This window comes from Homo sapiens, chromosome 17 (genome assembly GCF_000001405.40).
Source record: "Homo sapiens chromosome 17, GRCh38.p14 Primary Assembly".
Taxonomy (NCBI): Eukaryota; Metazoa; Chordata; class Mammalia; order Primates; family Hominidae; genus Homo; species Homo sapiens.
This window is the reverse complement of record NC_000017.11, coordinates 16,406,913-16,415,529: the sequence shown is the minus strand read 5'-3', so window position 1 is coordinate 16,415,529 and position 8,617 is coordinate 16,406,913. Positions and strand designations below refer to the sequence as shown.

The window sequence follows — 8,617 nt, the reverse complement described above, 5'->3', positions numbered from 1 at the left end:
CACCCCTCCCCCTTCTAGCCACTAAGGTCTCAGGTGGGGGTGGGTGACACTCAGAGGCAGCCCTTGGATGCTGGGGACTTGCCACCCATGGAAGCTGCCATGGATGGGGGATTCTTCCCCAAGTCCACTGACAGCTATCTCCTCCCCTTCTCCACCACATGCCTTCCAAGCAGCCGTGTGGCCCATAAATGGGCCTGAGTTGACCCATGGCAGGGGAGAAAGCTGATGTGGACAGCCCCCAGGGAGAGGCTCAGCCCAGCAGATGCCCCTGGGAACACAGTCCCACCCACCCATCCACCCAGCAGTTGGGGGACTTTCCCACCTCCCAGGACCTTCTCCCAGCCTCCTGACCCCAGGACTCTGATGGCTAAAGTTCCCCTAAAGGTGCTCCAAGCACCAGCCAGCAGGTGGAGACAAGGAGGTGGGCACGCACTGCTAAAATCAGACCTCACCACCAACGGGGCCCTGGTCTGGACTCAGTCTTGGAGCTTGGGGACCCAACCACCACCGAAGTAGCCCTAGGAATCTCTCTCCCTCACTCCCAAAACCTGGCATCAGCTCTTCCTCCAAAATTTGTCTTTCTGAGTGGTCCAAGCCACTATCACTGCTCCCCTGGGCAACTGCAGCCACCTCCAAACTGGTCTCCCTGCTTCATTCTTGCCCCACACTCATAATCCATTTCTCCTTATAGCAACTGAAGTGACCTTTTAAAAATGGGAACCAGGGCCGGGCGCAGTGGCTCACACCTGTAATCCCAGCACTTTGGGAGGCCGAGGTGCATGGATCACTTGAGGTCAGGAGTTCAAGACCAGCCTGGCTAACATGGCAAAACCCCATCTCTACTAAAAATACAAATATTAGCTGGATATGGTGGTGGGCACCTGTAATCTCAGCTACTTGGGAGGCTGACGCAGGAGAATCGCTTGAACCTGGGAGGCGGAAGTTGCAGTGAGCTGAGATTGTGCCACTGCACACCAGCCTGGACAACAGAGCGAGACTCTGTGTCAAAAAAGAAAAAAAAAGAAAACCAGGTCACCTAACGCCTTGACTTAATCACAAAACCTCACCCATGGTGCTTGGAATAAAATGCAAACTCCATACCATGAGCCCTCAAAGTCCAGATGCCCTTCTCCATCGCTATCCGTCACTCATGGCAACCCTGTCATGCACATTACACTCTAGGCCTGCGCCATCCAATAAGATAGTCACTAGCCACAATGACTGTTTAGATTTAAATCAATTATAATAGGCCTCACGCTTGTAATCCCAGCACTTTGGGAAGCTGAGGTGGGTGGATCACCTGAGGTCAGGAGTTCCAGACCTGCCTGACCAACATAGTGAAACCCCATCTCTACTAAAAATACAAAATTAGTCCAGGCGCGGTGGCTCATACCTGTAATCCCAGCACTTTGGGAAGCCAAGGTAGGTGGATCACTTGAGGTGAGGAATTCGAGACCAGCCTGGCCAATATGGCAAAACCCCATTTCTCCTAAAAATAAAAAAAAATAGCCAGGCGTAGTGGCACGTGCCTGTAATCCCAGCTACTTGGGAGGCTGAGGCAGGAGAATCGCTTAAACCTGGGAGGCAGAGCTTGCAGTGAGCCAAGATTGTGCCATTGCACTCCAGCCTGGACAACAAGAGGGAAACTCTGTCTCAAAAATAAATACATAATAAAATAACAGTAAACATTCAGTTCTGCTGTCCCATTAGCCACATTTTAAATGCTCAGTTGGCACATGTGGCTAGTGGCTACCATATCGGATAGCACACAGATGACAAATTTTTCTTTTTTTCTTTCTTTTTTTTTTTTTTTTCTGAGACGGAGTTTCATTCTTGTTGCCCAGGCTGGAGTGTAATGGCACGATCTCAGCTCGCCGCAACCTCCGCCTCCTAGGTTCAAGTGATTCTCCTGCCTCAGCCTCCTGAGTAGCTGTGATTACAGGCATGCACCACCATGTCTGGCTAATTTTGTATTTTTAGTAGAGACGGGGTTTCTCTATGTTGGTCAGGCTGGTCTCAAACTCCCGACCTCAGGAGCTCCGCCCACCTCAGCCTCCCAAAGTGCTGGGATTACAGGCGTGAGCCACCGTGCCAGCCTGAGACATTTTTCATAAACATAGAGTTCTATTAGACAGCACTGCTCTAGACATTCTGAACACATTTCAGTCTCCCCAGTATGCCATGCCTCTTCTGTTCCACCTGCCAGGAACACACACACACACACACACACACACACACACTGCTCTTGATCTGATCTAGCCAACTCCTGCTCATCCATCATCTCTCAATTTAAGCATCACTTCCTTTAGATAGCCTTTCCTAGACCCTGGACTGGGCTGGGGATCGCCACTATGTGCTCCCATGACACTCTGTACTTCCCCCACATCTCATTATCCGTTACTGTAATATTTATTATATTGTCTGGCTTCACTTTTTTTTTTTTTTTGAGACGGAGTCTCATTCTGTTGCCCAGGCTGGAGCGCAGTGGCATGATCTTGGCTCACTGCAACCTCCACCTCCCAGATTCAAGTGATTCTCCTGCCTCAGCCTCCCCAGTAGCTAGGATTACAGGCACGCGCCACGACACCCGGCTAACTTTTGTATTTTTAGTAGAGACAGGGTTTCACCATGTTGGCCAGGCTGGTCTCGAACTCCTGACCTCAAGTGATCCGGCCACCTCCGCCTCCCAAAGTGCTGAGATTACAGGCATGAGCCACTGTCCCCGCCTTCACCTTTAACAATAAAAAATACTTACGGAGCACTCACTATGCACCAGACACTGTGCTAAGCGCTCAACATGTAACTCCCAGAGCAACCTTATTTCACAGACAAGAAAACTGAGCATGGGTAAGGCCAAGGCCACAAGGCTGGGAGGTGAGAAAGCAAGGATTCAAGTCCAGGGCCACAGGCTTACCACCATACTTTCCAAGGGGTGAGATCTTGCTTTGTTGCTGTATCCCCAGCAACCAGCACAGTGCCTGGCATCCAAGTGGTGCTCAAGAAGGCTTTGAATGACAGGATGGCTTATAATCATAGTGCAGAGGGCACTGCTGTGCTGTTGAGAAAAAAGTGAAAAGTGGACAACCTGAAGTCCTCCAGAGCCATCACCACATCCGGTGAAAATGACAATTGGGTAGACAGATAACCTTAATTGCAAATTCTGGTTACAAAAAGGCCTTGGATTGTAGCCATCAGGGAAAGGCAAATCAAAAGCACAATGTGGTCCCACTTCACACTACTAACATAGCTATTATAAAAAGACATGTAACAACAAAGTGTTGGCAAGGGTGTGGAGAAATTGGACCTGTCCTACACTCCTGGGAGATTGTAAAATGGTGCAACTACTTTGGAAAACAGTCCGGCTGCTCCTCAAAAGATTAAACATAGAGAGCTGGGCGCGGTGGTTCACTCCTGTAATCCCAGCATGTTGGGAGGCCGAGGTGAGTGGATCATCTGAGGTCAGGCATTTGAGACCAGCCTGGCCAACATGGCGAAAACCCTCCTCTATCAAAAATGAAAAAATTAGGCCGGGTGCGGTGGCTCAGGCCTGTAATCCCAGCACTTTGGGCAGCCGAGGCAGGCGCATCACCTGAGGTCAGGAGTTCGAGAGCAGCCTGGCCAACATGGCAAAACCTTGTTTCTACTAAAAATGCAAAAATTAGCCAGGCATGGTGGTGGACGCCTGTAATCCCAGTTACTCCAGAGGCTGAGGAAGGAGAATCACTTGAACCCGGGAGGCAGAGGTTGCAGTGAGCTGAGATCGCCCCATTGCACTCCAGCCTGGGCGACAGAGCAAGAGTCTGTCTCAAAAAAAAAAAAAAAAAAAAAAATTAGCAGGGCATGGTGGCACATGCCTATAATCCCAGCTACTGGGGAGGCTGAGGCAGGAGAATTGCTTGAACCTGGATGGTGGAGGTTGCAGTGAGCTGAGATCCTGCCATTGCACTGCAGCCTGGACAACAGAGCAAGGCTGTCTCAAAAAAAAAAAAAAAAAAAAGGGCCAGGCGCGGTGGCTCACACCTGTAATCCCAACATTTTGGGAGGCCAAGGCGGGTGGATCACGAGGTCAGGAGATCGAGACCATCCTGGCTAACATGGTGAAACCCTGTTTCTACTAAAAATACAAAAAAAAATTAGCCGGGCGTGGTGGCGGGCGCCTGTAGTCCCAGCTACTTGGGAGGCTGAGGCGGGAGAATAGCATAAACCTGGGAGGCGGAGCTTGCAGTGAGCCGAGATAGTGCCACCGCTGCACTCCAGCCTGGGCAACAGAGTGAGACTCTGTCTCAAAAAAAAAAAAATAAAATAAACATAGTTACCATACGACCCAGCAATTCCACTCCTAGGTATGTACTCAAAGAAATGGAAACATATGTCCATACACACTTGTACATGAATGTTTACAGCAGCATTATTCATAATAACCAAATAGAAACACCCCAAATGATGATTAACTGATGACGAATGGATACATAAAATGTGGCATATCCATTTAATGGAATATTATTTGGCCACAAAAAGAGAAATTAAGTACTGATGTACACTATAGCATGGAAGAAACTTGAAAAATTAGGTTAAATGAAAGAAGTCAGTCACAAAAATCACACACTGCATGATTCCATTTATTTATTTTTATTTTTATTACATCCTCAGATAAGGGACACGTCAAACTGATAAGAACAGATACTACACTTGATTTTAGCTGAAAGGTCAAGAAGTAATCTGCGTGATTCCATTTATATGAAATATCCAAAACAGGGAACTGTAAAGTGGTTGTCTAGGGCAAGGGGATGTTGGGGGCGAGTGTAGAAAGGAGGACTGACTGCTAAAAGGTATGAGACTTCTTTTTTTATTTTTTTGAGACAGTGTCTCATTCCATCGCCCAGGCTGGAGTGCCGTGGCACGTGACTGCGGCTCACTGCAGCCTCGACTTCCCCAGGCTCGGGGAATCCTCCTGCCTTGACCTCCCAAGTAGCTACAGGCACATGCCACTACACCTGGGTCTTTTTTTTTTTCTTTTTTTTTTTTTTGTATTTTTTCTAAAGGCAGGTTTTCACTATATTGCCTAGGCTGGTCTCAGACTTCTAGACTCAAGCCATCTACCTTAGCCTCCCAAAGTGCTGGGATTACAGGCGTGAGCCAATGCACCCAGCTCAGGTATGATGCTTCTTTTGCGGGAGATAAAATGTTCTAAAGTTGATTGTGATGACAGCTGTGCAACTCTGTGAATTACACTAAAAGACCAATGAAATGTACACTTTATATTTGTGAATTGTATGTGAATTATATCTTTGTTTTAAAAAGTCCCCTGTGTAGGGAAGAATGCCTGTGTTTTTAGTGGGAAGTGAATCAAGCAGGGAAGCAAGACTTCCTCAATCTGAATACCACTGGATTCATATTTCAAGAAGCTTCACAAATTAGCCAGGCATGGCGGCGTGCACCTGTAGTCCCAGCTACTCTGGAGGCTGAGGTAAGAGAATTGCTTGAACCTGGGAGGCAGAGGTTGCAGTGAGCCGAGATTGCGCCACTGCAGTCCAGCCTGGGAGATAGTGCCAGACTCCGACTCCATTAAAAGAAACGAAAAAAACTTTGGGAGGCCGAGGTGGGCGGATCACGAGGTCAGGAGATCGAGACCATCCTGGCTAACACGGTGAAACACCGTCTCTACTAAAAATACAAAAAATCAGCGGGCGCCTGTAGTCCCAGCTACTGGGGAGGCTGAGGCAGGAGAATGGCGTGAACCCAGGAGGCGGAGCTTGCAGTGAGCCGAGATCATGCCACTGCACTCCGGCCTGGGCAACAGGGCCAGACTCCGTCTCAAAAAAAAAAAGAAACCAAAAAAAAAAAGAAGCCTCACTCAGTCCAGTGTCCGCCTAACGAAAATCTACCCCAAGCAGGCTTTATACCCTATCTTTCCTATTGTGCTTCATTTCACTTTGTAACTTTTTATAAATGTTTCTTTTATTTGAATTTATTTTCAGATAGATTTTTAATAAGAGCAAAGAGAGGTCACCAAAATATGTAGCAGATGTGTCCTCCGGAGCAGGGAACTAGAGGTCAGGGATGGGAAGGCACATAAGGTGCATCCTTTGTACTATTTGAAATTTTTTTATTTTTTTATTTTTTATTTTTATTATTATTTTTTGAGACGGAGTTTTTGCTCATCGCCCAGCTGGAGTGCAGTGGTGCGATCTCGGCTCACTGCAACCTCTGCCTCCCAGGTTCAAGCGATTCTCCTGCCTCAGCCTCCCGAGTAGCTGGGATTACAGGCGCCCGCCACCACGCTTGGCTGATTTTTTGTATTTTTAGTAGAGACAGCGTTTCGCCATGTTGGGCAGGCTGGTCTCGAACTCCTGAGCTCAGGTGATCCACCCACCTCGACCTCCCAAAGTGCTGAGATTACAGGTGTGAGCCATCGCGCCCGGTCTTTTTTTTTTTTTTTGAGACGGAGTTTCACTCTTGTTGCTCAGGCTGGAGTGCAATAGCAGGATCTCAGTTCACCGCAATCTCCGCCTCCTGGGTTCAAGTGATTCTCCTGCCTCAGCCTCCCGAGTAGCTGAGATTACAAGCATGTGCCACCATGCCCGGCTAATTTTGTATTTTTAGTAGAGATGGGGTTTCCCCATATTGGTCAGGCTGGTCTCGACCTCCCGACCTCAGGTGATCCGCCCGCCTGGGCCTCCCAAAGTGCTGGGATTACTGGCATGAGCCACCGCGCCCTGCCTGTTTGAAATTTTTGCCACTGGCTTTAAAAAATAAAATTGGCATCTCTTTTAGATGTAGAAAAATATCCAACTCACATGTGCAAGACATGTCTAAAGCCTGTGCATAATATAAATTAAAAAAAGAGTTGGGAGAGAGCATTTCAGGGTCTGGAAGGTGGAAACTGCCCTGGCCTTAAAAGTAAAAAAAGATGGGACACTTGAGGGTGCTGGGGGTAGGGGCTGGAGCGGTGTAGACAAGCCAGGGCCTGGACCTGCAGCCTTTGCTTCTCTTTGTACTAATTCCGAAACTTGGCCCCAAGCCAGGGCTGGGGCTATGTCTAACTGGCCAGATGAAGCTTCCCTGAGAAGATTGTGTCTGAATCTCACAGAAAAGAAATACGAATAAGGCAGTTTAGCAGGCAGCACAGGCTTCCTGGAGCAAGGAAGACTGAGGCAGCGGAGAAAAAAAAAAATGCTAGCTGGTCCTCAAACAGGGCCAGAGAGGACCAAAGGGGACCAGACACCTCCTGGAGGGCAAGGGGACCAGCTGGCTGGGCACAGCCTGCCCAGCCTGAGATAATTTCTCACGCAAAGCATGGCCCCTTCCCATACCGCCCCAGGGAGCCCCAGAGGCCACAGCTCAGCCAGGCCCGGACGTTCCGTCTCTCCCAGGACCCAGAATAGCTACAGCCAGGTCTTGGCCAAATCTGGGAGCCCAGCCCCAAGCCCCTACCCCTCTGGGGAATTTCCCCAATTTCCGCAGGCACAGGATGCATTCCCAACCGCCTCTGCCTCCCCACCCCTCACGCTTCCACCTGCCTCCCACCGCACCTCCTCCTCCCCCACCACTGACCCCTCCAGCCTTCAACTCCTCCACCCCTTACCCCCCAACCTGCCTCCCACCCCATATCCGCCTCCCCTACCCCTCACCCCCACCTGCCTCCCACCCCACCTCTGCCTCCTCCACCCCTCACCCCACTACCCCTCACCCCCACCTCCCTCCCACCCTCACCTCTGCCTCCTCCACCCCTCATCCCCCGACCCCTCACCCTCATCTGCCTCACCCCTCCTCCGGCTCCTCCACCCCTCACCCCCCCACCCCTCACCCCCATCTCCCTCCCACCCTTGCCTCTGCCTCCCCTACCCCTCACTTCGCTACTTTCTTCTCATCCCACCTCAGCCACGCCTCCCACCCTCGCCTCTCCACGCCCTTCCATCCCACTTCAGCCGCGCCTCCCACCCCTCACACCCCGACCTGCCTCAGCCGCGCCCCCTACCCCGTCCCTCGGGTAGTAGGCTCCACCGCGGTTCTGCTAAGACTCCCACCGCGACCCCAGTACCTCTCGCTACCGAGCTTCAGGCGCATCCCCGCCCCCCGCCCAACTAACTACCCAGAATCCTGGGCCCCCTCCCACTGCGCCTCGGCCGCGTCCCCAGCGCACGTTCCCTGCTCTTTCCCCTCTCGCTTCCCCACGAATCCCGCGAGTCCCCTGCCCTCCTGTCTGACGTAGGCATCGGTCCCCCTCCCGGACACCCCCTCCTGGGACAGGCCTGGGACCCGCCTCCGCAGTCGCTTCGGCGGATCCCGGGTCGGGGGCGGGAACGGAAGGACCTTCCTTTGGACTCCAGCTTCGCCCTCCTCATGCGCCACTCCCTTCCCCAAGTCACAGAGCTGGACTGTAAGGGTGTCAGAGCCTGTGGGCTCCACTCCCCTGCCCTCCAAAGGAACTGGAGGATGCAGGCGGACGGCGGGACCACAGCATTTCCCTCCGGCTTGGAGGGCGGAGGCCGACCCGGGAGCGCGCTCTGGAGCGGTGAGCCAGGCGCCTTGGGACGCTTTCTTTCGAGGCAGGGTCTTGCTCCGTTGCCCAGGCTGGAGTGCAGCGGCCCCATCACGGCTCACTGCAGCCTCCATC

General features: G+C 51.4%; 1 pseudogene, besides 8 other annotated features; it reads right to left on the bottom strand.

Annotated features, from left to right (window-relative positions):
* Positions 9-128: an enhancer, noted in NCBI's record as "active region_11759". NCBI's record gives its function as "activates an Ori minimal core promoter by ATAC-STARR-seq in GM12878 lymphoblastoid cells {active_cell/tissue: GM12878}" and the evidence as "EXISTENCE:reporter gene assay evidence [ECO:0000049][PMID:35858748]".
* Positions 4,580-4,719, bottom strand: LOC124904150 (uncharacterized; annotated as a pseudogene).
* Positions 6,681-6,860: an enhancer, noted in NCBI's record as "active region_11758". NCBI's record gives its function as "activates an Ori minimal core promoter by ATAC-STARR-seq in GM12878 lymphoblastoid cells {active_cell/tissue: GM12878}" and the evidence as "EXISTENCE:reporter gene assay evidence [ECO:0000049][PMID:35858748]".
* Positions 6,911-7,280: an enhancer, noted in NCBI's record as "active region_11757". NCBI's record gives its function as "activates an Ori minimal core promoter by ATAC-STARR-seq in GM12878 lymphoblastoid cells {active_cell/tissue: GM12878}" and the evidence as "EXISTENCE:reporter gene assay evidence [ECO:0000049][PMID:35858748]".
* Positions 7,481-7,570: a silencer, noted in NCBI's record as "silent region_8223". NCBI's record gives its function as "represses an Ori minimal core promoter by ATAC-STARR-seq in GM12878 lymphoblastoid cells {active_cell/tissue: GM12878}" and the evidence as "EXISTENCE:reporter gene assay evidence [ECO:0000049][PMID:35858748]".
* Positions 7,801-7,850: a silencer, noted in NCBI's record as "silent region_8222". NCBI's record gives its function as "represses an Ori minimal core promoter by ATAC-STARR-seq in GM12878 lymphoblastoid cells {active_cell/tissue: GM12878}" and the evidence as "EXISTENCE:reporter gene assay evidence [ECO:0000049][PMID:35858748]".
* Positions 7,951-8,000: a silencer, noted in NCBI's record as "silent region_8221". NCBI's record gives its function as "represses an Ori minimal core promoter by ATAC-STARR-seq in GM12878 lymphoblastoid cells {active_cell/tissue: GM12878}" and the evidence as "EXISTENCE:reporter gene assay evidence [ECO:0000049][PMID:35858748]".
* Positions 8,061-8,140: a silencer, noted in NCBI's record as "silent region_8220". NCBI's record gives its function as "represses an Ori minimal core promoter by ATAC-STARR-seq in GM12878 lymphoblastoid cells {active_cell/tissue: GM12878}" and the evidence as "EXISTENCE:reporter gene assay evidence [ECO:0000049][PMID:35858748]".
* Positions 8,371-8,550: an enhancer, noted in NCBI's record as "active region_11756". NCBI's record gives its function as "activates an Ori minimal core promoter by ATAC-STARR-seq in GM12878 lymphoblastoid cells {active_cell/tissue: GM12878}" and the evidence as "EXISTENCE:reporter gene assay evidence [ECO:0000049][PMID:35858748]".